Source organism: Homo sapiens, chromosome 1, assembly GCF_000001405.40.
Source record: "Homo sapiens chromosome 1, GRCh38.p14 Primary Assembly".
NCBI classification, from domain to species: Eukaryota; Metazoa; Chordata; class Mammalia; order Primates; family Hominidae; genus Homo; species Homo sapiens.
Window position 1 is genome coordinate 33,787,571 of NC_000001.11, and position 27,375 is coordinate 33,814,945.

At 44.6% G+C, this 27,375-nt stretch overlaps 1 protein-coding gene and 1 long non-coding RNA gene across 13 annotated transcripts in view; one reads left to right on the forward strand and one right to left on the reverse strand.

The window, feature by feature from the left end:
* The window catches only part of CSMD2 (CUB and Sushi multiple domains 2), a 651,845-nt gene that overhangs the window by 273,573 nt on the left and 350,897 nt on the right, over positions 1-27,375 (reverse strand). For 11 of the 12 annotated variants that reach the window (XM_047443685.1, XM_047443656.1, NM_052896.5 and 8 more), the window contains exons 10-12: positions 23,173-23,294; positions 4,853-4,956; positions 1,030-1,142 (exon numbers count right to left, since the gene is read on the reverse strand). The exons of the other annotated variant lie outside the window; for it this stretch is intronic. In XM_047443685.1, coding sequence (XP_047299641.1) covers positions 1,030-1,142; positions 4,853-4,956; positions 23,173-23,294 — 339 coding nt within the window. The remainder of the gene's footprint in view (positions 1-1,029; positions 1,143-4,852; positions 4,957-23,172; positions 23,295-27,375) is intronic. 12 annotated transcript variants of the gene reach the window in all.
* Positions 3,421-17,734, forward strand: LOC124903976 (uncharacterized). The gene is made up of 3 exons (XR_007065710.1): positions 3,421-3,484; positions 12,119-12,261; positions 17,000-17,734. It is a non-coding gene; the product is annotated as an uncharacterized LOC124903976 (long non-coding RNA).

Below are 27,375 nucleotides of genomic sequence, written 5' to 3' on the forward strand. Positions count from 1 at the left end.
TTTGCATGCCACTTCGTTTGCTTTCCCCTCCATCTCGCCACTAGAGCACAAGTCAGTTGAGACGATGCCTAGACTTGATGTGTCTGTCCCCCTTGTGCTGGTCTAGCGTCTAGTACCTAAGAGGGGCTTAACAGTAACTTGTGGATGGCTTCTCCTTCCACCTTTGTAGGGACTGGCGTTAGCTGTTATTGGCCAAAGGGGGTTTGGAAGTGGTCAGAAGGGTGATGTTGAGGGTATCTCCTGGGCCCCAGGGTTTGCAGTTCCCTTAATGCCTATTCTAAGCAAGAGATGAAGACTCTTGTCTGCATCTTTCTCAGGCCACCAACAGTGGTGTTTATCTGTTCCTAGCCCTATGCACAGAGTCACTCATTCATCACATGCAACCCAATAGGGTATCTTGGGAAGCTATTGTCCTCTCTAAAGATTTTAAAAATAAGTGAGGCCTCTTAAAAGTCTCCATGAACCAGGTATGAATTGGGGATGGAACTGAGGTGTGCATCTGATGCTGGGTGCCTAGCATTTTAAGTGTTTTATCCCAGATAATCCTCAAAACAACCAGAAGGCCCTCAGAACAAAGAGGTGGCTGGGGCTCAGAGAAGTGGAATAACATGCCTAAGGGGGAGGAAGCTAGTGCAGGGGAGAACCAGGATCCCGTGGCCGGGCATGGTGGCTCACGCCTGTAACCCCAGCACGTTGGGAGGCTGAGGCAGGTGGGTCATTTGAGGTCAGGAGTTCGAGATCAGCTTGGCCAACATGGTGAGACCCCGTCTCTACTAAAAATACAAAAATTAGCCAGGCATGTTGGTGTGCGCCTGTAGTCCCAGCTACTCGGGAGGCTGAGGCAGGAGAATCACTTGAACCTGGGAGGCGGAGGCTGTAGTGAGCTAAGATCGTGCCACGGCACTCCAGCCTGGGCAACAGAGTGAGACTCCGTCTCAAAAAAAAAAAAAAAAAAAATTCTGACTGCAAATCCAGACCCCGTCTCTGACTCCCAGGACACAGTTCATCTGGCTTGCCAAAAGCAGTTACCTTCATAAGAAGCCTTGAATCCCAGGGAACTGCCACTGCCATCAGTCTGGAAGAGGAGCCACATTTGATGATTGGTGCTGACAATGAGATCCGGGACCGATGTACCTGTCAGGCTGGCAGGAGAGAGATATTTAGAGGTGTGCTCTCCACCATGACACCCGAATAGAATGATTGCCTGACCGATGACATTTAAAGGACTATCCAGGATCCAGGCCCGCTCGGGCAAATTCTGGGCCCCACTGTGTTTCTGACTCTGGAGCCCAGCAGCATGCTCTCCCTGTGCTGGGAAGACTCATCCTGTCTTCCCCTTGGCTGTGGGTAGAATCTCATGGGTTGAATCACAACTTTGACTCTCTAGCCCTGACCCTTGGGCTCACAAGGGAGATCTGTGTCCTTACTTGCTCAGGGGACAGGGATAGTTGGAGCCAAATCCAATCAAGAGGGTGTCTACATTCTTGCAACTTTTGATCTCTTGTGTGACCTGTATTGCAGAAAAGACCACCGCCACCCCCACCTCCTTGCTGTCTTTATGTGGGTTTCCCCTCACAGAAACCCATTTCTCCAGTTGGAACCCAAGCCATTCTTTCAATGAGACATCTCCTTCCATTCCAGGATAAGGAACAAGGCTTAGAGTGTAGTCATTATCTGAGGGCCACATTCTTATTGAAGAAGAGGGTTTAAGCATGGGTGTGGGGGCGGGGAGGGGGGGATTCAATTCACAATCCCAACCCCAAGCACCTACCCATGTAAGATACTGCACTTATCAATTTCCTACCCATTATCTCATTTAATGGCCCTGTTGCCAGGAAGGTAGGGGTTGTCAGCCCATAGTACAATGAGAATATGGAAGTGCAGAATGGGCAGTGGCTTCTCCAAGGTCAACCTGATACAGTGGCAGAGCCAGGGGTCCCCTGTGCAGGCTGGGATTTCCAGAAGAAATCCAACCTCATTCTTTTGTTGAGATCAGACAAATTACCAGCACAGATGGAGGCAGGGGGTTGTGGAGTGGGCAACTGAACTAATGAGTCCTAATCTCTGCTTCACCCAGGGTCTCAGAGCTTGGGAGGCTGTTGAGTCAGCTGCAGAGAGGTCATCACACCATGGGGGATATGGAAGTGGAGCTCGGATAGAGCACATGGGATCCAACAGCCTGGCCTGTGTGACATCCCTGAGCCTGGGCTCTGACAAGCTGAGTAAGGATTGTGGCCAGGCCAGTGCTGGCTCCTGACTCTGGGGTGCTGATGAGCAAGGGAAAAGGCTGGGACCCCTGCTTTTCCTCTGTTTGACCCAATTACAGCACCAGGCTCTGAGTCCACCATTCATTTGCTGTGGGACCTTGGGCAAGTGGTTGAGCCTCTCTGGGCTTTTTCACTCTATGTTAAATGAGGGGATTGTATGGTATGATCCTCAATAGCCTTTTCAAAAGTTCTGCTATTCTAAGGTTCTCTCTATGTCAAAGCACATTGGGATTGTGGGAGGAAAGAGAGCTGGGATCCTAGTCTCTTGGGCACAAAGAGCTGAGGCACCATATGGGTCAGTAAACTAGGGCAGAAAATGAGTGATGGGGATGCACCAAGTGAGGGGGAGAGGTAAGTGTGATGGTGAATTTTATGTGTCAACTTGACTAGGCCACAGGGTACCCAGCTACTTGGTCAAACATTATTCTGGGTGTTTCTGTGAGAGTGTGTTTGAATGAGATGAACACTGAAATCGACAGACTGAGTAAAGCAGATTGCCCTCTCCAAGGTGGGTGGACCTCATCCAATCAGTTGAAGGGCCAAACAGAACAAAAAGATGGACCCTCCCCTGAATAAGAGAATTCCTCCTGTCCAATTGGCTTTAAACTGAGACATCAGCTCACTTCTGGCTTTTGAACTTGAACTGTAACATCAGCTCTTCCTGGATCTTGAACCTACTGGCATTTGGACTGCAACTCCATTATTGACTATCCTGGGTTTCTAGCTTCTTAACTCACCTGGAAGATCTTGGGACCTGTCAGTCTCCCAAAATCACATGAGACAATTCTTTACAACAAATTATCTATCTATTTGCTGTTTGTCTGTCTATCTATCTATCTATCTATCTATCTATCTATCTATCTATCATCTATCTGTCTATCATCTATCAATCATCTATCATCTATTTATCATCTATCTGTGTATCATCTATCATCTATCAATCAATCGTCTATCATCTCTCTAATATCTATCTATCTATCTATCTATCTATCTATCTATCTATCTATCATCTATCTATCTATCTCTATCTCCTATTGTTCTGTTTCTCTGGAGAACCCTCACTAATACAGTGAATTAGGCATGGGGGAGAATGCCCTGTGGGCTCACATTCCATTCCTTTGTCTGGAGAAATCCCAAGTCCCAGCCATGTCACCTGATTCAGTGGGTACCATTGGATAAGATGAGTCATGTAACTGCCTGTATAGCATCATCTCCAGGTAGGTGTAGGGAAGTTGTGAAAAACACCCAGAAAAGAACAGCCTCAGGACAAGCCAGCTGTTACTAAATGGCCATTTTTCATTCAGCATTAGAACCAGAAGGAGATATCCTGGAGCTAGCCTTGTTGGGAAGGAGTGTGGCATGGGACATTGTCCTTGGCTGAAATCAAAAGACATGAACTTGAGTGCTGGTTCTGCTATCAACCTTCTCTGAAACCTTTGGGCCTCAGTCTCCCCATCTGTTAAAAGAGAATAATAACACCAGGGCTTAAGCGAGATAATTGATGCAAAAGTTTCCATCCCAGTGCCTGGGAGCATGGTAGGTGTTTAATGTTGGTGACACTCCACCTCCTTCCTGGAAGGGAGATGGATGTGGTCAGGGTGTTTGTCTCTGAAGCTAAGCCACATGTCCTGAGCAGAAGCATTTCCTGACTTTTTTTTTCTTTTTTTAGACAGGATCTCACTCTGTCACCCAGGCTAGAGTGTAGTGGCATGCTCTCAGCTCACTGCAGCCTCAACCTCCCAGGCTCAAGCTATCCTCCTGCCTCAGCCTCCTGAGTAGCTGGGACTATACAGGCGTGCACCACCACATCCAGCTAATTTTTGAATTTTTTGTAGAGATGGGTTTTCAACATGTTGCCCAGGCTGGTTTTGACCTCCTGAGCTCAAGCAATCCGTCTGCCTTGGCCTGCCAAAGTGCTGGGATTACATCAATACACCACCACGCTTGGCCTTTTTCCTGGTTTTCAAGTCAGGCTATTGGTGGTGGGCAAAAGAGAAGCTAAATGGTCCCCAAGAGCACAGACTCAACATAGCAGAATCCCATGACAGCTTGATATTCTCCTCTCCCTTGTCTGGAACATGTCATACTGGTCTTTTTTGGCTCAGGAAGTGTGGCCACTATGTCTATATGGTCCTGATTCTCTGAAACCATCCATTTCCCAGGGAGCTCTGAGCATGCAGAAAGGTTAGCAACTCATTTCCATTATCTCTGTCTGAGGTCAGGCTGCCACGGCTGGATGTGGCCTGGAGTAAAAACTGTCAGGGTGGCAGAATCAAGGTCTGCATGGAAGCAGCCAGCCAGTGGAAGGCTCCAGGTTCATCCACAAAACCTCGATCTCCCCTGCCCCCTAACAGACTGCTCATTCTATTCACATTTCATATGAATTCAGTGAGAAGGTGCCCAGTGCTCTTTTCCCCTTGGTCAGAGTAGAGAGAGGTAGAAGGATTATTGCTGAAACTAGGAACATTGCAGGATACTGTCTTTGCTGTAGTATGGTCTAGGGACCAGGCAGGACTCCACAAACCCCACCCCACCAACCCCAGCCACCGTCCCACCTTCCAAACAACATGCCCCACTGCACTTACATGTAGAGAACTGTCTTCTGGTCCCCATCCTGACCACCATCACCGACCGTCAGGGTGTCATAGCCCCTCTCCAAATCAAACTCCTCAAAGGCGAGCTTGATCACCTAGGGAGGGAACACAGGGTTAGGAGCAGGCAGGGGCTGTGAGGAAGCCTTCCAAAGCCTTGAGGGGAGGAAGGATTTTCTGTGTTATGTCCCAATGCTCAGAGTCACTGGTGACACCATCCTAAACAAACTGACCATTTCTGTCCCACTTTAATGAGTGTGAACTATTTCTCTCCAGGCCATGCAGTCTCCAGGGCCCCCTGATGTTTCTGAAGATGTTCATAGCACATCTGGCCAATTCTGGTGGCTGTCACAGCAACCGGGCACATCTGGCCAACAGCGAGATGATTAGACTCTTTCTTCACGCCTTAATGCACAGAAATCCCCATGGGCTTGTTGGCAACTTTTCAGGCCACATGTGGAATCTCAGCTCTCTTGCCCCCAGGGACCTGCAGAAGTTTCTCTCGTCTTCTCCTCTGACTGCTTTTCTCCATCCTTTTTGTTTATTTGTTGAATAAATGAATGTTCTCAGAAAGAGATTTCAACAAGATTCCCCCCTCTTGTTTTAATCCTGCCTTCCACAAATATTTACTAAGCACTCCCCATATGCCAGGCTGGGCGGTGGGTTTCCACAGTGAGCATGACATGGTATCTGCCCTCGCTAAGAAGGGGAGATAGAAATGCAAACTGATAACCACAGCACTGGGGTGGGATGGATGCTACAGGGGGCTGTGGGAGCGAAGAGGAGCCTATGGCTCACCCAGCTGGAGTCAGGGGCAGGTGCTACTGGAGATGGGGGTGTCTGAGGAAATTCTGAAGGCTACTGATGACCCCATCAGGCCAAAGGGGGATGCTTGGAGAGGGAGGGAGGGGGATGCTCTGGGAAGGAGTCAGGTGCACAGGGCCTGAGCTATGGCAGAGATGGAACATTCCAGAAGAAATTATTCAGTGTCTGTTGCTAGCAGATCTACAAACTGAACATACCTGCTAGCTGCCTGGCTCTCGGGGATAATGTGACTGGGCCTTCAGTGCAAGAAGGTGACTTGGGAAGGTCTGGAATTTGAAAAGTTTTCCTGGAGTTTGGTTCAAAAGGTCTCATACCTCTACCCTCCAAAATTAGAATTTATGCCAGGGGAGGAGCAGTAGAGTTTTAAATAGTGGGTGACAGGGACGCATAGGTGTTTGAGAAAATGTCAGTGTGGCAGTATGTGTGGAACTCATTGGCAGGAGTGAGGATGGTTGCAGGCTTTTTTGGTAGTGCAGGTGAACGATGGAAGAGTAGCAGTGTGGACGGAGAAGAGGGAGGGTCCTAGTGATATTTAGGGCTTTGAGACAGGATGCATGTGGTGCTGAGGGGAGGGAAAGATCCAGGATAAGTTGCAGGTTTCTGGCTTGTGCAATTGTTTGGGTGGGGGATGGTGCCATTCATAAGGACAGGACACACACAGGCACTCACTCCTGATGTCTAATCTGTATCTCTTTTTGTCTGTTTCAGTCTGGTTTCAATCTGATGATGATCCTCATTCCCCCAACAGGGAGACTGAAGTTGCTCCTTTGCTTTCTGTTCTACAACTCAAGGAGTATATAATTTCTGTGGATATTTTTTCCTAGTTGTGGCTGACGCCTTCTGCAGGTTTCCTCCATCCAAATCAAACCGTTCAGCACCCACATCCTGCCAGGGACCCTGCAGAGCCTTACCCCAAGGTGCTTTCTCAGGTATCCCAGAGGCAAACTGACACTGCCCTCATTCATAAGCCTGGGTAGTGTCTATGCAGGGCCCCTCTGCAGTGGCCTGAGAGTCACAGAAAGATGCATCTCTGGATAATAGTATCTGTGAGCACGTCAGTGGGTCTACAGATAGACACAGAAGAGGAAGGAAGTGATTGCTTTTGACTGGGAGAAAGGTTAAAGGAGGCTTCTTGGAGGAAAGGAAACTCAGGCTGAGTTTGGAAGATGAACTGGAGTTCAACCAATGGATATGGAAGGGAAAGCAACCCAGGCAGAGGGAAAGGCAGCGGTGTGGAACAGGATGACTTATCCAGAGAGGTCTAACTACTGAGTAGTTGTTTAAGCAAGGAGGTGGTGGAGGGTGGCGATAGGAGAGAAATAGGAGCAGTCAGATTATGAGAGGCTGCCGGTAATGCTAAGAATTTTGGGCTTTGTCCTAAAGTCAACGGGGAGTTATGGAAGGGTTGGCAGTAAAGGCATGACATGAGATTTTTGTTCTAGGAGCAGGAGCATTGAGGGAGAGTTGAAAGCTCGGAGTCCAATTCGCAGCAAGGTCTAGGTGAGGTGGGATGTGAGCCTGTAGCAAGTTCTAGATGAGGCAGGGTGTGGACCTGTAGCAAGGTCTAGGTGAAGTGGGTTGTGGGCCCGTAGCAAGATCTAGGTGAGGTAGGATGTGGGCCTGTAGCAAGGTCTAGGTGAGGTGGGATGTGGGCCTGTAGCAAGGTCTAGGTGAGGTAGGATGTGAGCCTGTAGCAAGGTCTAGGTGAGGCGGGATGTGGACCTGTAGCAAGGTCTAGATGAAGTGGGATGTGGGCCTGTAGCAATGTCTAGGTGAGGCAGGGTATGGACCTATAGCAAGGTCTAGGTGAGGCGGGATGTGGACCTGTAGCAAGGTCAAGGTGAGGCGGGATGTAAGCCTGTAGCAAGGTCTAGGTGAGGTGGGATGTGGACCTGTAGCAAGGTCTAGGTGAAGTAGGATGTGGGCCTGCAGCAACGTCTAGGTGAGGCGGGGTGTGAGCCTGTAGCAATCAGTGTTTGGAGCGAGTTATTAAAGAGGAGATGGGATTTGTCAATAGTGAGTGGGGATTCCTTGGCCCTTCTGGGTTTCCTATCCAGAATGTTCCCTGTTGGCTAATGGCATCATCATGGGATCATTTCCTCAGGCTGGGATCTCCCACCCATCTCTCACACTCCACACTCCTGCTTTACAGAACATTTCCTGGAGTCTCATTTCCTAGCATGAAACATAAGAAGGGCATCTCTGCACCTGCTCCCTGCTGACTGCCCTCCACTGCACAGCCTGTGTGGCCACTTGAAGTCCTGGGCATTCACACCAGGGCAGCCTATTCATGACCCTGACTTACGCAGGCTCTTCCTGCTCCCTGTCACTGCCCTAGAATATTTCTTCTCATCTGTGAGCCTGACTTGTCTCAGTTCTCTCTGACTAACCTTGACAAGGGGAGCAGCCCCTGCTCAGCCCCTTCCTCTCGTCTGTTTTAGCACTTACCTGCTGGACTGTGATGGGTCTGTTTACTTATTCCTCCACTACACCATGAACTCCTGGAGGGCAGGGGTCAGGCCTCACTGCCTCTGTACCAGTTCCTGTCGGTGGGCCAGGCCCATGCCAGGGGCTGAAAAAATGTAGACTGGGAGAACAATTTCCAAAGCTTTCCTGCTTCTCTAGCATGGATGGATTGCTAGGCTCTCAGACCCCTCACAGTGGTTACCATCTAGAACAAAAGTTGGCAAACTTTTTCTGTAAAGGGACAGATGGTAAATATTTCCCCCTTTGTGTGTCATGTGATCTGTATCACAGATATTCAGCTCTATTGATGTAGCATGAACATAGCCATACACAATGTGTACATGAATGGGTGTGGCTGTGTTCCAACAAAACTTTATTTACAAAACAAGCAAAGAGCTGTATTTGGCCTGTAGGCTATAGTTTGCTGATCCCTGGTCTAGGAGATTCTTCAAGACAATCATAGTCTTTGATCATCTTCTCTTATGCGATTTCATCACTCCAAGAGCTGAGACCTACAATGTGCTCAATTCTGTTCTGAACACTTTACACATATCAACTCATGAGAAATGCAGCACTGTTGTGGGAAGTCAGGGACACTGAATGGAGGGACCAGCTGGAGCTGTGGCAGAGGAGCATAAATTGTGAAGATTTCATTTTAATATGGACATATATCAGTTCCCAAATAATACTTTTATAATTTCTTACGCCTGTCTTTACTTCAATCTCTGAATGTAAATTGTGAAGATTTCATTTTAATATGGACATTTATCAGTTCCCAAAATTAATACTTTTATAATTTCTTATGCCTGTCTTTACTTTAATCTCTTAATCCTGTTATCTTTGTAAGCTGAGAGTATACATCACCTCAGGACCACTATTGTGTTAACTGTACAAACTGATTGTAAAACGTGTGTTTGAACAATATGAAATCAGTGCACCTTGAGAAAGAAAAGAATAACAGCAATTTTCATGGAACAAGGGAAGACAACCATAAGGTCTGACTGCCTGCAGGGTTGGGCAGAATAGAGCCATATTTTTCTTGTTGCAGAGAACCTATAAATGGATGTGCAAGTAGGGAAGATATTGCTAAATTCTTTTCCTAACAAGGAATATTAATAATTAAGACCCTGGGAAAGGAATGCATTCCTGGGGGGAGGTCTATAAATGGCCGCTCTGGGAGTGTCTGTCTTATGTGGTTGAGACAAGGACTGAAATAAGCCCTGGTCTCCTGCAGTACCCTCAGGCTTATTAGGGTGGCGAAAAAAACCCACCCTGGTAAATCTGAGGTCAGACCGGTTCTCTGCTCTCGAACCCTGTTTTCTGTTGTTTAAGATGTTTATCAAGACAATACCTGCACAGCTGAACATAGACCCTTATCAGTAGTTCTGAATTTGTCCTTGTCCTGTTTCCTCAGAAGCATGTGATCTTTGTTCTCCTTTTTGCCCTTTGAAGCATGTGATCTTGTGACCTACTCCCTGTTCTTGCACCCCCTCCCCTTTTGAAATCCTTAATAAAACTTGCTGGCTTTAAGGTTCAGGTGGACAGCACGGTCCTACTGTTATGTGATGTCATCCCTGGAGGCCCAGCTGTAAAATTCCTCTCTTTGTACTCTTTCTCTTTATTTCTCAGCCAGCTGACACTTATGGAAAATAGAAAGAATCGATGTCTAAATATTAGGGGCAGGTTCCCCCAATACAGCACAATAGCTATTTTGAGTACCTCCATTTCACAAATGGGACAGGCTAGGCACAGAATTTAGGCAACTTGCCTGGGGTCACACAGGCAAGTGGTAGAGCTGGGACTCCCACCAGGCAGGCAGTCAGAGGCCAGGCTCTTTGTCACTCTGCTCTACTGCCTCATGATGTTCCAACAAGGTCACAGGCCCACAAGGTAGGAAGCATGACTTAAGCCTCTGTTTTCTCTCACACTTTCCTTGAGTTCTTTTTTCTGGGTCCCAGCAGGGGGTCAGGAAACAGCTGCTGCATATAAAACACCACAAGGCAGGTAGTGTCTTCTGCTGGAGGAAGGGCCTGGGCTCTGCAGGGACTGAGGGGCCCGGCTGCATATTCTCACCATATCAGCCCCTTCCAGCCAGCCCTGGGGCAGAGGACACGGCTCACCCAGCCACCTCCAAAAAGGGAGTGTATGATTATTACGCCTATAATGGGAAAATATTGCTTTGAAGGCCAGAACCCAGAGCTATAAAATGATTCACATCACTGGTTAGAGCTGCCATTGATGTGAACCACATTTCAGAGTGCCGACCCTGATGCAGGAGCTAATTACACAAGAAGACTGTTCAACATACACAATGCTGCAGTTTCAGGACGAGCCTCTAGTGCACAATGTACTAGCACTCTCTTTTTTTCGTTTCTTTTTTTCCTTCTCTGCTTTGGCCTTTGTTTAAAGACAGGCTCCTATAATGACTCATTAACTAACATGCAGATCAATCAAGCTCACAAAGCGCCTTTCGGAGGCAGGAGAAATGGCAGCACATGAAATAGGCATGATCAAAGAGGCACATTTGTATACAGCTCAGACACCCAATTTAAACCCATTAGATAAATGAATAAACAAACCCATCATCTAGGACATAATTACTGAGCACCTGCCATGTGCCAAGCCCAGAGCTAGCTGCTTCCCATAAGTTATCTTGCTTGCCTGACAATTTAGAGTAGAATCTAAATGCCCAGGACATGGTGCTGATGGTGAGTGCTGGAGGAGTGCAAAGAGGAGAGAGATGGAAGGGGGTCCATAGAGGAGGTGGGTCTGGGCCTGGCGGGATGGAGAAGGGTGTGTGTGGGCTCAGCCCAGGCTACACTGTGAGAAGTGAAGGGCCAAGGAGAGTGGGACAGGAAGAAGAGCCTGGCTGAGTCTGCAGGGGATTTTACCCACAGCCAGAGCAGGCAGTCTGGACTTCATGGTCAAGTCGATGGGAAGCTATAATTCAGTGTGAAGGGAGGATTGGAGGCAGAGAGACCAGTGGAGGCTGATGCAGGGTCCAAGAGCATGAGGAGAAATTAGGGGGTGTCACAGCCACCTTGTCCTGAGAATCATGGGAGATGGAGTGGGACCCTGGAGGACACCCACTGGAGGCCCTGGAGAACATTCTCCCCTTGCCACGTGCTGTCCAGGATTAGCCAAAAGACAGGACTCCAGGTGCTGCCAGCATGTGCCCAAAGCCTGCACAAGCCTGCAGAGGATCTGCCAGCTCAGGGCAGTCTTGTGGGAAGCTAGAGTCCCGGGAGATGTAGACTGAGGCTGTTTTGTTTAAGGACTGCTTTGCTACAACACTTTCCTAACTGGGCTGTCTGTCTCTGCAGCCCATCCTTCACTCTGTACCAAATGCTCTTAGCACCTCCCTATCTCCTACAGCAGGGGTTGGAAAACTAGCTCTCAGACCAAATCTGTCCTATAGCCTATTTTTATATGTGGACCTGTGGACTTTGGAGTTAAGAATGATTTTTTACACTTTCAATGAGTGAAAAAACAAAACCTACAACATAGAAGAATATGCAACAGAGACCTTACATGGACTTTAAAGCCTAAAATATTTATGGTCTAGCTCTTTACAGAAGAAGTTTGCTGATGGCTTCCCTAGAGCAATGGTTTTCAAACTGGGCTCCCAGGTACCCCAGGGTTCCATAAAGGTACTCCAGGGCCAACCCACAAGGGTGGAAGAGGAGCCAGAGGAGGGAAGCCTCTGCTTAAACCAAAACAGCTCCATTTTGATCTAGTTCATAATTTGGGATGCTGTGAACACCATGGATAGTGGGTTACTTAATGTCCCTTCCTCCATTTATTTCTCCCTAACAGAACCCCAACTTTATTGGGAGTGTGGCAATGTATGTATCTTGCCAATCTCAGAGCTAAAGATGTCTATGTGACAGAGCTCTGGGCAAGGAAACATGGGTTGAGGAGTCCTCAGACCATTTCCTCATCTTTCTCCTTGCTTTTCCTGGAATACAGATGTGAGGACAGAGAGGGAGCAACCTTCTTGTGATCATGAGGATGAGAGTCATATGAAAAGCAGCAGAGGGAAAAATACAAGGAGCATGAGACCCGGAGGGAACCACCAAGCCAGCCCTGGACTTTCTGCCTCTGGACTTTTGGTATGTGGAGAAAATAAACGGTGTGTTTTTTAAGCTTCTGCAGAGGAATTTTCTGCACCTCCCAGTCAATTACGACCTAATGGCTACAGGTTCTGAAGACAGGTGTTTGTCACCGCAGAAGAGTTTGCCAACTCTTGAAACTGCAGGATAGAGTTCAGCATCTTGGCTTGGAAAGTGTGGGCTTTGCAAGGCCTGCCCCTGCCACTTCCTGGCTAGGTAGAGGCCCTGCCACAATGCTGTGCTCCAGCCTTACCTCCCATATTTCTCCTCAGAGCATTTCTTTGAGCCCCTGAGGGCTGACCTTGGCCCACCCAGCCTCAGTTTACAATGTTGCTGCCAGTGTAACTATTAGCTCCATGAAAGGAAGGGAACTCACTTTTCCTGGGCACAGCTTGAACCATGATTCCCTCCAGGGTCTTGCTGAGGCCCTAGGGAAGAGCTAGAGAATTAACTCCTGGGGTGAGGAGGAGGGGAGGCCAGTAGGAAGGCTGAAGACCTGAACTCCCAGGAGTTCAAGGACAGAGGCCTCCAGCAGGTACTAAGAAGGGTCAGAGGTTCTGGAACTTTGGTCACTACCTGAGGTTTCATTTTGGTGGTTCTGAGAGCAGTAAGCCCTTGGACTCATTCACTTATGGATTGACTGATTCATTTATTCACTGATTCATTCAACAGTTACACACCTGCCAAGTGCCGGGCTTTGGAGGGGCATTGGCAGGCAAGATAACATGGCTGCTGCCAATAGAGACCTCTAAGTTTCTAGAAAGCTTCACAGAAGACCCTGAGTACATAGACTACAATACAGTGGGATGAGGGCTCAAACCAGGGAAGCATGGATGGGAGACAGGAGGGGCACAAAATCCTGGCTAGCAAGCGGGCAGGGTTTGTCTTCAGCAACAGAGAAGGTGTGTGGGGATACCACATGGCCACAGCCAGATCTGGGCGAGGGGAAATGCCAGCACATGATTTCGAGACAGCTGTAAAAGGGAAAGGAATGAGGCTTTGGACTTGAGGAGGCTATTAAAGGGTCCCCCAGATGTGAGGAGGGGCTGTGGAGGCACACGGCAAACCTCTGATCGCAGGTGTCTTGCACAGGGCCTGGCACAGAGAGGGTGTTTGAGTAAATGTTTGCTGAATGAATAAGTGAGTGAACAAATGGGCCAACGAGTATGTCCCTGACATTTGCACTAGCTGCCGATCACCTGCCTGGAGAATTAATTCTCAGTTCTTCAGGTCTACAAAGGAAACAGTGACAGTGATAATCCCCAAGGAGTGAATAATCAAAACGCTGTTATCTTTGCTTTGAAGTTCATATAACGAGCTTTCCTTTCCCTCTTCCTTCCATGCCCCCTCCCTCTCCCTCCCATCCTCACTCTCCATCTCTCTTCTGTCTCGCTTTTCATTCTTTTCTAGCAAAGGTGGATTAACTATCCTGATCAAATCAAGTGAGGCTCATGTGCAAATTGGATCAAATGTTTTGTGTTCATACTGAGAAGCTGCAAAAGAAAGACAGATGTGTGTAGGTAGGGGGCATCAAGGCAGGTCTGGGTTTCAGTCCTGTCTACATCTTTGTTTTTCCATGAGGCTGAGCTGAAGGGACCTAACAAGAGGAGGCCCTGGAGGAAGAAGGCCTGAATCTCAAGCCTCTGGGATGGGCAGAACCATCCCAGAGGAGCTCCTCCTCCAACAGTCACTCACATGTTCAAATATCGCTGAGCTGCTTCTCTATGCCCAGCACTGTGCTAACTGTGGAAGAAATAAACAAAGTGCTATTCCTGCTTTCAGGATGCTCACGAGCTATGGGGGAAATAGATTCTAAATGCAAGAAAACAAAAAGTGCTGTAGGAACAGGAAGGAGCAACACATGATGAAGTTAGGAAGGCTTCTCAGAAGAGGGGTTGTTTGGACTGTCTCTCAAAGGGGGATAGGAATTTGCCTGGAGGAGAAGGGAAGGCACACTGGGACCAGATGTGCCCAGACAGGTCTTAAAGGGCCAGGTGTGTCTGTGAACCTGAGTTCAGTGTGGCTGAAGCTGGGGCTGCCCAAAGGGAGAGATGGGGCAGAGAGACCACTGTGTGCTTTGCTGGAAGAAGGAATTGCATTGTTGACAGAAGTTTAGCTGGTCAGAACCACCAGGGTCGTCTTTAAAAATAAGTTCTGGTACCTACCCTAGACCCACTGAATCAGATCTTTGGGGAAAAGAGCTTGGGAATCTGTGGTTTTAAAGTGTCTCCAAGGCATTTCTGATGAAATTTGGGAAAAATTATTGTAGGCAGATGTTAATGTCAGATTAATATTATAAGGACTGAGATAACCCAAATGCCCAAGGTGAGGTCAACATTGCCCGAGGACATCCCAGTCGAAGGGAGGGCATGGAGGCTGCATGTGGAGTAGGCCTGCATCACTTGCTCTGAGCCTTCTTTCCTCTGTTCCTTGAATCTATGAAGTTTCCAGGAGGATGCACTGGGGTGTTTTTATTTCCCTTACTCCTAGTTTATTGAGTACAGACATATCCTTAACTTGCCTCTCCAATAAGACTGTAAGTTCTTCCTGTTCCCACAGTGCAGAGGCGCACAGCCCATAGATGCTCAGTTAATGCTGGTGTCTTGATGTAGGTTCTTAGCCATTCCCACACCACAGCATCCCTGCTTCTCTCTTTGGGCCTTCTCATTGCCCTTGGAGGGCCCCAGTCCCTGGGACATTCCTAGCTCCTTGCCAAGCCCAGGTAGCAGAGGTCCTACAAGGGAGATGGAATTACAGGAAGGATCCTCCTGCGTAGGTGTCAGGGATGCATCATAATCATTCCATGACTATGAGGAGAGCAAGGGGACACATGTCCCTCTTACACTCCCACAAGCAAACCTTTCAGCTCCTTCTAACAACAGCATCTTTCTCCCCCTGCTCCTCGCAAAGGGAGCCCTGCATTCTCAATCCCGTGGCCCTCTCACTCCAGAATCTCCCTTCTGTCACCATCCCTCTTCTCCTGTACCTTCACTCTCTCCCTCTGTGCATATTTTTTCCTAAGCCTACTAACATACTCCAGTTCCAATATTTTAAACACATGCCCCAAAGTAACCCCAAACTTTCTCTCTATCTTATGTTCCTTGCCGGCTACTGCCCATCCTGGCCTCCACAGCCTCACCTCCCATCCATTTGCTTCCCACCCTACTGCTGTCTGTTGCTGCCCCTAGAGCTTCACTGCAAAGTCTTCTTCCAAGGCCAAAGCCAATGGTCTCCTTCTAGCACTTTTCCAGCAAGACATTTGTCATCGTTGCCATGATCAGACATGCCCTAGTTGGAAACTCTTCCTGTGTTTGCATCACGATTCTCCTCCCGCCTCTCAGATTGCTCCTTCTCTGTTCTTTCACTGGATTTTGCTCTTTCTCCTGTCACGACGGTATTCTCAGATCCATTCTGAATTTTCTTATTCTCTTCAGTCTTTCCAAGAAATGTTGTCCATTCCTTAAGCTTCTATTCTCACCCACGTGCTGAGATAACACCCAAACCTCTCTCTTAAACTCAGATTTACCCAGAGTTTCCATCCAGTATATCCAAATGACATTGAATGAACCACAGACATTCCAAATGCACTGTTTCTCTCCTGACCCCTGCAAAGCATGTTCCTCCATCTGTATTTCCTTTTTAACTCTACCACTGGACCAAGCCAGAAAGCACTAAGTCATCATTCATCTGTTCATGGAATAAATATAGGCCGAGTACCTACTATGTGCCTGGAACCACGTTGGTCACTTGGGATACAATATTGAATAAGACCTCTCTTCCTCCCTCAGCTCCCACATCCAATCAGCTACCAAGTCCCACTCTATCTCCTAAATCTCTCTCATCTGTTTTCCCCTCCACATTTCCAAAGCCTTGGTGGATGTCCCCATTTTTCCTACTTAGGTAACTGCTTCATCCTCCTAACTGGTCTTTCTCCTTCCAGTATCCACCTCTAAACTTCTCCATTGCTGCTAGAGTAATTTTCCAAAAACTCAGATCTTCCTGCTATTGCTTTAGTTCAGGAGATAGAGTGATCCTCGTCCTTCCAGGCTCATCCCACTGAGGTGAAGCCCAGCCCCTTTCATCTACTCTGAGATCTTGTTCCATCCAGCAGCACAGCCCAGCTATGTAAGTGCATGGGCTTTGGAGCTAGAAAGACGGGGTTTAAATCCCAGTTCTGCCACTTACTGGCTCTGTGCTTCAGCTGTTTCCTAACCTTTAACCTTTCCATGATTCAGTTTCTTTATCTACCAAATAGGTATATTAAAATAAAATTCATTGTCCTATTACGAGAATGAAATAAAATCATTCATATAGACAGCTTAGCTTAGAGCTTGTAATGGGACAGGCATACAATAAGAGCTATTATTGTTGTTAACAACAGCCTAACACTGCTAGCCTTAGCAATCTGTGTTTTGAGATAAAACCCAAACTTCTGGGCCAAGCATGTGGGCTCACCATGATCTGAATCCTGCTTACCTTTCTGTCCTTACCTGCATCCAGGCATGTTGAATTACTTCCAGTTCTAAGGGGCTATTCCAAACCTCAGTGCCTTTGCACATTTGTCCTCCCTGAGATACTGATTTCCAAGCCTACTCATCCTTCAGGACCCTGTTGACATGTCACTTCCTTTGTGAAAACTTCCCTTATCTCCCAGTTAGCAGCTCTTCCCTGAGTTTTCCCATAGCGCTCTGGACATGCCTCCATCAGGACTTACCTGCACTCTTTTTTTTTTTTTCAGACCTGTTCTTCACTCTTACGTGCACACTCCTCAAGGGCAGAGGCCATATCTACATCAATGAATGAATGAATGCTCATCTCATAAAACATACTGTGAGCTTAGAGACTATGCTTTTTGCTGAAGGAGATGTCTGAAGGTGAGTGGATAGGCAGTCCTTGGATACACCTGTATCTCACCTGTAGGCCAGTTCCATGAACAGGGTTAGGCACACAGCATCCATTGTCCTTGCTGTTTCCCAGAAGACAACTTCTATTCCTCAGTCTTAGACTTTGAGTTTCCACACTTAGACCCTCCTTGTTGCATTGTATGTTCCCTGGGTCTCCTCCCGCCTGGATCAGGATAGGGTTCTCTTCAGCCTTTCTGGGCTCCCTCAGCACTACCTGAAGCCCACCAAGGCCCCACAGAGATATTAGAAACACTGCTCTGCACACTCTAAGCGGTGCTCTGCAGAGGTGCTATCTTTAGAAACTCAGGCTGGTGGGATCTCTTGCAAGGCATGTAGGGGAGTGACCATATGGAGGTCACTGGTCTCCACACACTGACCAAGGCTAGGCCTTCTGGGGGTGAATCTAATTGTTTCTTAGAAAATCCTCAGACTTTACTTAGACTTCCCCCGACACCTCACCTTCAGGTTCAAAAGAAAATGGAGATAAGGATTGTAACAGTGCCCAAGGAAGAGCCCTCTAGTCAACAACTTAATATGATTTCATGGTATTAAGTCCTTCTGGCCTAGCCTCCACCCTCACCCCATGTGGCTGAAGTGTCCTTTCCCATTAACTAGGTACATCATGAAATAATTTAATTAAATGTGAATCTTTCTTTGTAAAATGTTGTGCAGAGGAAATCTGCTTCCAGTGTTCCCAGCACTGTGGTTCCAGGCACCCGGACCAAACAATTTTAAAGTGTTAGGTAAAATTTTAAAATGACAAAATAAAAATAAAAATAAAAAAAGCAGCTTTTTCCAAGTTAGTGTTAAGGATTGAATTATAATATGTCCCCCTGAATTCACATGTTGAATCCCCAATGTGAATATATTTGAAGATGGGGCTTTTAGGGAAGTAATTAAGGTTAAATAAGGTCATAGGGATGGGGCTGTAATCCGATGGTAGTGGTGTCCTTATGGGAAGGGGAGGAGGCATCAAAGAGCACTCTCTTCGTGTGTGCACAGAGGAAAAGCCATGAGAGGACACAGTGAGAAGGTGGCCATTTACGAGCCAGGATGAGAGCCCTCATCAGAAACCGAATTTAGTTGCACTTTGATCATGGACTTCTAGCCTCCAGAATGGTGAGAAAATAAATGTCTGTTGTCTAAGCTATCTAGTGGGCAGTATTTTGTTACAGTAGCCTGAGTAGACTACATTAGTGTAATAAGGAATACTCAACACAGTGAATGGAGGAATCTAAAATGTGATTCAGAACATGAAGACGGCTTTGGTCTTGAGTACCTTTTAAAAATTCGGTCAATATAGCTTCACTTTTCAGCAACTCATAGAAAAGAGGGAACAGGAGACAAAATTCAGGGCCCAGCACAATGGTGACTGTAATACGATACTTCTGAAAGAGTTGGGTTAGTTAAATCTGCACCCATAGTGTGAAGGTGAATTAGAAATGAGCCTATCTCCTTCTCACCTGTCACTACCACCCTCTGGGAGGATCTGGAGGCTGACTGTTTATCTTAGACCTTGACACTGAGTAGACAAGAAAAATGTTTCCACTGAGAATTCACAACAGTAAGTCAGTTTTCACATGGGTTTGCAGCCTTCATATTACTTGGGTGGTTTGAAACCTCCATACTGAGAATTTTGTGTGAAGAGGTTTCTGGCTGGTAATGCCCCCAGCACTAGGCAGAAGCAGATGCAAACCCTCTCTGGAAGAACCCACCATCCACCCAGGTCTCAAAGAATTACCAGAGAGAAAATTTACCCTTCTAACCACATAATCAAACAATATAAAACAAAGAAGGAAACATGGTTCTGAGTGCAAGAGGTGAGAAAAAACAGAATCAAATTTGCAAAAACTTCAGATATTGACACTAACAGACACAAAATATAAAATAAGTATGTTTAATTATGGAAAGAATTCAAGAATGATCTAAACATAAGAGTATGGAGCAAGAGTTTATAAAATATGACAATATGACTAAGAACGTTTGAAAAAGAATCAAATAGGGCTTCATAAAGTGCAGACTACATTTGAAATTAAAATAAATCTTCAGTGAATGGATTTAACAGAGGCTGGACACAGCTGAACAGAGAATTAGTGAACAGAATGAAAGAGAGAAAGTATGAGAGAGGTTAAGAAATACTGATGATGGAGTGAGAAAGATGAACATATCTTGTCAGTCTTCTAGAAGAAGAAAAAAGAAGCATTTGAAAAGATAATGGGTAAACATTTTCCCAAGCTGATGAAAGATACAATCCATAGATTCAAGAAACTTAATTAAACAGGATGAATACAAAAAATATTCACACCTAGACACATAAGGGTGAAACTACATAACATTAAAGAACAAGAAAAGACAGTAAGAGCAGCCAGAAGGATGCTATACAAAGCAATGACAATAAACTGACAGCAACAGTGAAACCCAGAAGACACCAGAACAATATTTCCATGTGCAGAGAGAATGGAACTATCAACTGATAATCAAATGTCCAGTGAATACTAGCGTTCTTTCAAGAACAAGGGTAAGCAGACATTTTAAGACAAAGAAAAAATTACACATTAGGTTCTATGCTTACAGACTGGGTGACAGGATCCGTACCCCAACCTCAGCATCATGCAATATACCCATGTAACAAACCTGCACATGTACCCCCGAATCTAAAATAAAAATTGAAATTATTTTTTAAAAAGACAAACAAGAACTAATAGAGTTTATCATTGACAAGAAAATAAATTTTAAAGCATGTATTTGCACTGAAAGATATTCCAAAGAGAAGGACTGATATACAAGAAGGAGTGGTAAACAAATAAGTGGTCAATATATGAGTAAACCTAAGTGGACAGTGGCTTTATCAAACAATAACAATAATAACTTGAGAAAAAATTAAGGTAACATAATATACACACACCATAGAGTATGAATTGGAAGGAATGATTAAAGTCATAGTGTCCTAAGATCCTTGGCTTTTCAGGAAGAACACAAAATTATTGTTTAATGCTAGGCTTTATTAAGTAGGCATATTGCTATTTCTAGAGTATTTTAGGACAAATTTCAAAGAATAGAAATGATTGTATAATTCACAAGGTCTAAATTCTTTAGTTAAAAGACAAATGGTCAGAGGGGATTTTTGAAAATCCAGCTATACACAAAACACATATAAAGCACAAGGAAGTCGAAAAGTTAACAGTAAGAGAATAGAAAATATTTATTAGACAAAGACCAAGAGAAAACTGATGCAATGGATGGAGGGAAAAAGCCTTTAAGGTTAAAAACATTACTACAGATAAAGAGAGTTACTACATAATTATTTTTGAAACAGTTCAATTTACCAGGAAGATATATAATTCTGAGTTTTAACTTTGATGCTCTAATAACACAGTCTCAAAATACATGAAGCAAAAATTGACAGAACTTTAAAGAATAATAGGCAAATCCACCATCATAATGGAAGATTTTAATATTCCTCCCTCTGCCGTTGATTGATGAAGAAGACAAGAAAAATCAATGAAGATATAAAAGAGACAAACACAATTAACAAGCTTGATGTAATGGACATATTAGAAAACAAAAACTGCAAAATGCAGGGTTTTTTTCAAGCCTACACAGAATCTATGTGAAAAATGACCATTTCTGGTCCTAAAAGCACAAATTTCAAATGATTCAAATACAGATCAATGTTCCCTGACCACAAGATTTAGAAACAGTAGGAAAGAGAGAGTTACAAAAATCCTTTGAAAATTAAAAAATACTTCTAAATAGCTCATGCTTAAAAGATGAAACAATAATGTAAATTAAAAAATATTCAGAACTAAACTATAACAGAAAATAAATAACTGTAAAAATCTGTAGGAATGTAGCCAAAGTAGTCCTCAGAGGGAAATTTGTAGCCTTTGATGCTTAAATCAGATTGAAAAATAATGAACAAAGCATCAAAATTAAGATGCTAGAAAAAGAACAACAGAATAAACTCAAGTGCATTAGAAGGAAGAAAGTAATAAAGATGAGAGCAGAAACTGACAAATTAGCAAATAAATATATTAAAAGGAATAGTAAGAAAACAAAAATTCATTTTCTGGAAAGACTAACAAATGTTAAACCACTGCCAATACCAATTAAAAAATGATACATATTAGAAATGAAAAAGGGAATTGAAACACAACAATGGCAGGTATCATAACTATAATAAGAGATAGTATGTATAACTTTATATCCAATAAATTTTAATATTTACTAAAATGGAGTCAAGAAAAAAAAAACAGATGACCAAAATAATTCTCTAGCCATTACATGTATTAAGTCTATAGTCTAAAATCTTCAAACAAAGGAGACACCAGACCACGATAGTTTTGCTGAAAAATTCTACCAAACTTTCAAGGCAAAAGTTATGCCAATCTTCCACTAATAACCCCAAAGGATAGAAAGAGAGGAAATACTCTTCAAATCATTTTCTGAGGCTAGCAATATATTGACACAAAAATTGGCAAAGGCAATATGAAAAAACAAATAACAGGCCAAGCTCACTAACAAAATAGAAACAAATTACTAAACAATATATAGGCATGTATAAAAATGACAATACTAAATGATCAAGTTATGTTAATCTTAAGAATGCAAGGTTGGTTTGACATGAGAAAAGGCAATATTTGCTATACTAAGAGAATAAAGGAGAAAAATTATATGATTGTATCAATAGATATAGGAAGATGCTTCATAAAATTCAATAACCATTCTTGATAAAAGCTCTTAGCAAACTACGATTAGGAAGTAAATTCCCTAATTCTATTATAAAAGGAGTATCTACAAATGAAAAATAAGCTTCAGCAAACATCATACTTGATGATGTTTGATGGTGAAGAAATAAAAACATTCTATTAAATATCAAACAACGACCATAGGGGTCACCATCATAATAATGATTTGATGTTATACTGGGAGGTTCCAACCAGAACTCTGAGGCAAGAAAATAAAAAAGAAAAGGTATAAGAAATGGAAAGTAGAAACAACACCATCATTTTTTTGCAGATGATGACTATCCATGTAGAAAAGCCCAAAGAATTCAGATACATTTTTACAAGATAGTTGCTAATATAAAAATCAAAGTACAAAATCAATTGCATTTCTAAACACCAGCAAGAAACAAGTAGAATGTGCAATTTTAAAAGATTTGATTTATAATAGCAACGATAAATATAAGATATTTAGGAGTAAATATATTAAGAAATACATAAGATCTGTAATGGAAAAAATTATACAAGTTTATTGCAAGCCATTAAAGAAACCCTAAACAAATAGAGAGATATACCATACTCATGAACTGGAAGACTCAGTATCAAAAAGATATCAGTTCTTCTCCAATTAATCTGTAGTTTTGATAAAATTAAAATAAAGATTCCAACAGGTTATTTTGTGGATCTTGGCAACATACTTGTAAAATTTATAAGAGAGAACAAAGGGCACAGGAGAAAAAAACTCAACAGGAAATAAACATGAAAAAATGTATGTAGAAGTACAAACTACATACAATAACTTAGATAAATCTTAGGAACACAATTTTGAGTGAGGTTGATTAAGAATACATACATGATTACATTTATATGAAGTTCAAACGTTAGCATACTAAGCAATGTATTTTTAGGGATACACACTTAAGTGCTAAGTATAAAGAAAAACAAAGGAATAATAAACACACAATTGAGGTAATGGTTACCTCTGAGGGTGTAGGGAATGAAACAGGATTGGTGAGGAACCTGCATCACTAAGGTAACGATTTTCTTTTCCCCTTAAGCTGAACGATGGCTGCACAGGTGTTTGTTGTATTGGTGTTCTTTATATTTTGCTTATATTTTATAATCTGCTTTTTATCCACTCGATATTAATAAAAAAAAAAGTAAAAGAACTGTCTGCAGAGAATCTACCATCAGTAAGTTCTGGGTTTGAAAAACCTTGTAGGCCAACTGTCCCCAACCTAGCCCTGCCCACAGAACACCACCCCGCTCCCCAAGAGGCTTACCTTGGAGGGGTTGAGTGCTGTGATGATCCACACACAGTGTGCATTGTTGTCATACTGAATGGGGAAATTGGGGGAGGTGATGATGCCCGAGGGGCCTCGAAGGTGGGCATCACACATGCGGGCTGCAGAGGAGATGAAAGACAAGCCTTTGAATTAAGACTAGGTCCAGTTCCCCTTCTTGCCTCCCACTCCCCACCCAGAAGACACTGCATCTGTACAGTTCCCACCCTGGACATAACCTTCTGCTTCCTGGGTCCTTCCTCTACAGTTCTTGGGAGGCTTGAAGGGAAGCCGCAGTGCCTGGAGCACTGTGACTGCTGTTCTGTAGGCAATGATGAACTTCTAAGGCAGGCTAAGCGACCCCTCTGCATGCCCCACTTACCCCCACACCCCGACTCCACTATGATCATGCAATTCCTCTTTGTCAAGAGGGTGTGGGCTAGAACCTGTCAGGTTGACATAAAGCTAGGTGGATCGCAGGCACCTATGGACACCTAAGCAGCCCACGCCTTACTCTGCTGACCTGTCTGTTTCCCAATTTGCACTCCAATTCTCCAAACCAGCTGAGTGCTGCTGTGGACCTAATGCTGCTTAACTAGGAGTCTGACCTCATTCCAGGTTCTGCCTGCCCCTCAGTTCCTTCCTCCGTGACCCCCTTGGTCCTCCTGAAGAGGAATTTCAGGATATCCTTGTCAAGGCCACTCCATTAGGTCTCAGAATGTCTATGCCCAAGAGCTCTGCCAAGGCCCCTGACTCAGCTCAGTGCCAGGCCCCCAGAGTGATTTCACTGCTTCCCAAATCCGTCTCCACACTCAGCTTATCCCTGAAACTGGCTTTTGACTGGAAGCATAAAGATTCAAGGTGAATTAGAAGTGTTCTACTCAAGTAGATATAAAGTGTTATCAATCACAGCTTAATCTAATTAAGCTCTTTAAAATAGCTTCTAAACTAATTAGATTAAGTAGTGATTTATAACAGTTAAGGTACTACGTTGTACCTAGGTATTTGCTTTCTTTAAAAATGTGTGCTTAGTTCTAGCCACTTCATTCTTTAACGTTAGTGTTCAGCTATTTTAATAAAAGGTTCTAAGAGCCTGTTCTCATGCTGCCCACATGGCAATTTATCCTAATTGTAGGCAAAGTGCCTAACAGTAAAGAAATAGTGAGCAAACTCAACAAGCTTAACTATATAAAATGAAAGTGGTGTCAAACCTAGTTTCCTCTGATGGGGCCAAATATCCTAGAGCTCCTTGCCATGTGTGGAAAGGGCCATGATAAACCTTTCCCAGGACACCCTTCCTAGGAGGGTCTGGGAAGCAGGTTCTGCAGCTCCTAGACATAATGAATCTCTTCTCATTTCATGCACTCATTCCTGCGCTTAGCTCATTCATTCCAACATTTATTGAGTGCCTACTATGGGCCAGGAAAAGTGTGGGGAGAAAAAAGTGTCTGACATAGCCCCTCCTCTCTGAAGGGCCACAGCAAGTGGAGGGAGCAGGTGGAAAAACATTCACCATCAAGCAGAGCAGGTGTTGTCAGAGGGTTATTTGCAAGGGGCTTTTGGGACAGGTCTGTTACCTCCTTTTTGTTAGCTCATCACCTCCTGGGAGGAGATTTCTTCTCACTGTAGTCCTGCACTGGAAGGATCTCCTCCTCCCTCATCCTGAGCTCAAGAATCTGTTCAATCAAGTTTGAACAAGTCCTGGGGGAACCCCCACTCCATTCCCCCATGTATATCTGATTGCTCCTTTCATTCTGTACTGAGAAACACTTAGATTCCTAGATTGCACTTGATACAACTGGGCCCTATGGCAATGTGGCATGGTTAAAGCGAGGTCAGGTTTTAAAATTTATGAACTTAGCCTTCTGGATCTAAATCCATTTGCTGGTCGCTTAAGTCTGGATGAGTTAGAAAATCTGATTTTGTTTCTTCATCTGTAAAATGGGACAAATGATACCACCTCATTGAGATATGGTGAGGATGAAATTATATGAGATGATGGATGTGAAGGTTCAGCCCAGGGCCTGGGATGTGGTCAATATTCAACCTTTGGGACAAGAGATAATCAGACTCCCAATGCCATGTCTATTCTGTTTCTCTATGCCCAGGATTTCTCTCAAGGCTAAGGATCCTTTTTCTGCCTTTCCTGAAGTTTCTGGACATAGGTTTTTTTCCCCCACAAGTACACTCGAGACTGGCAACATTACTAAACAAATTAAAATAAGACAATCAAAGCCCTGATTCCGTCCCACCTTTGCAAAGAGGACCTGTGGACTCAGAACTCTAGCCCTGCAGAGAATCCTTACAAAGCTCCACCAGCACCATCTTACACCTCTTCCGGAAAGTCAGATTTTGCTGCCCAAAGCCCTCAGCTTCAGAATCAATTTATCTTGTACTTGTTTCCAAGAATTAGATGGTATATTTGCAGTCTGTTGAAACATGCTGAAGGTAATGAGAGAGAACAGGCCAAAAAGGCAGTTACCACTTTAAGGGCTTAGAGGGGTTTAATTAAAATATTACAGTCTGCAGATAGCATAGAGCACCTTAAACTAGGTTCAAAATGAAGCATTAGCTACTTTTTTCCTCTGCTATCTGAGCAAAGTCAGGGGTTCTGTGGACAGACAGACAGACATCACCCTGAGCAGCCAGCTCCATGGGATCCCATCAACAGATAGAAAGTTCATCACAGTGACCCAGATGGGCTGGCAGAATGGTAGGTGCTCAATATCTCACTAAATGAATGAACATATCATTTTGTTTCTCTATTTGCCTTTTTCCCTGAAATGCTCTTCTGGATCGCTTTCAGGAGAGACTTCCCTGAGATCTTCCATGCCTGAGCTCTGCAGCTACTCCCATTTTTCCTCTGGACATTATCATATAATGGGAACAGTATCCCAGGGGACCATAGGGAGCTACCACCTGGACCCACAGCCAGTTCTGACACTGAAACAACTTGGTGCCAAAGAAGAGAACTGCTCCGGGTGCAAGTGCCTCTGGTCTCATATCTTCTCTCCAAATCTGATTCCCATCCTGTTCCATGCTGCCTTCCCTTGCTTCTCCTATTGGCCTCCCTCCCAACCCTTTCCACAGTCCTCTGGAACCACCTCCCACTACCAGTTCTAAGGAAAACAAATCCTACTTGTAGCTGCAACATCTTTCGGAACCTCCTACTCCCACTACTGTCCTGACTGAAGCCCATCTTCCCCTCCTATGCCACTGCCTCCTATGCAGCCCTCTGTAGTCAAGATCTTGCTCCCACCCTCAAGTATTTCTTTCACAGTTGTTTTCTGAACCTCCAGTAGAGTTCATCTTTCCCCACTGAGACCTCCACTCTGTTGACAGCAATATCTCCTCTCTACCCATCAGCTCCTTCGGTCTTGTCTTCTGTCCTTATGCAAATTTGATCACATGGGCCACCATTAGGCTCATTTTCTTGCTTGTTCCAAGTCCCTTTCTTCTTCCTCCTTTCATCAGTTGCCTAGAAGACATCAGTTTGGAATGAATCTCTCTACCTGCCTTCTCCATACCTGCCACCATACAGTTGAGCTTTGCTGTGAAAAAAATCACTAGTAGGAAGATGAATGTCTATTATAAACTCCTGATTACTCATCTCAAAAAAATCCTAGCTATTGCCCAGTGACCCTACCATTTATCTCTATTAGCTCACTCTCTCATTCTGCTCAAAGACTTTTTCACATGTTCTAGACATTCCTTGAACATCTTCCTCTTCCTCTTATCTCCCCTTACTCTTAGCCGATGACTTTGGCTTTCTCTTTGGAGGGAACAGAAGCCATATAGCAGGCGGGTCCTTTGTCCCACTCTCTAAGAATGCAATTCTATCTGCACGTGTACTCAATTCCTTTTTCCCTCCTGTTTCAATGGAGAGATGTCCCTTGTTTTGGAGGGCATTGCCCTCTTATGAGATCTGACACCCTGCTCTTCCTCCAACTCATGATCAACCATGTTTATAGCCACACCCAGGGCCTTGCTATCCTGGGAGCCAGGAAAGTCCAACTCACAGATTTTAAACCCAGTCATTCCATTCCTTCCCCCACTGCCTGTGTTCCCAGCAGAATGACTTGGGTCTCAATGCACCATTGTCCTACATCATAGGCCCCTCTAGCCTTCTGGCTCCCACATTTCATCCCATCTATTGATCCTCGCCTGACCCCTCTTCCCTCACTATCCAGTCTGGACCTCAAG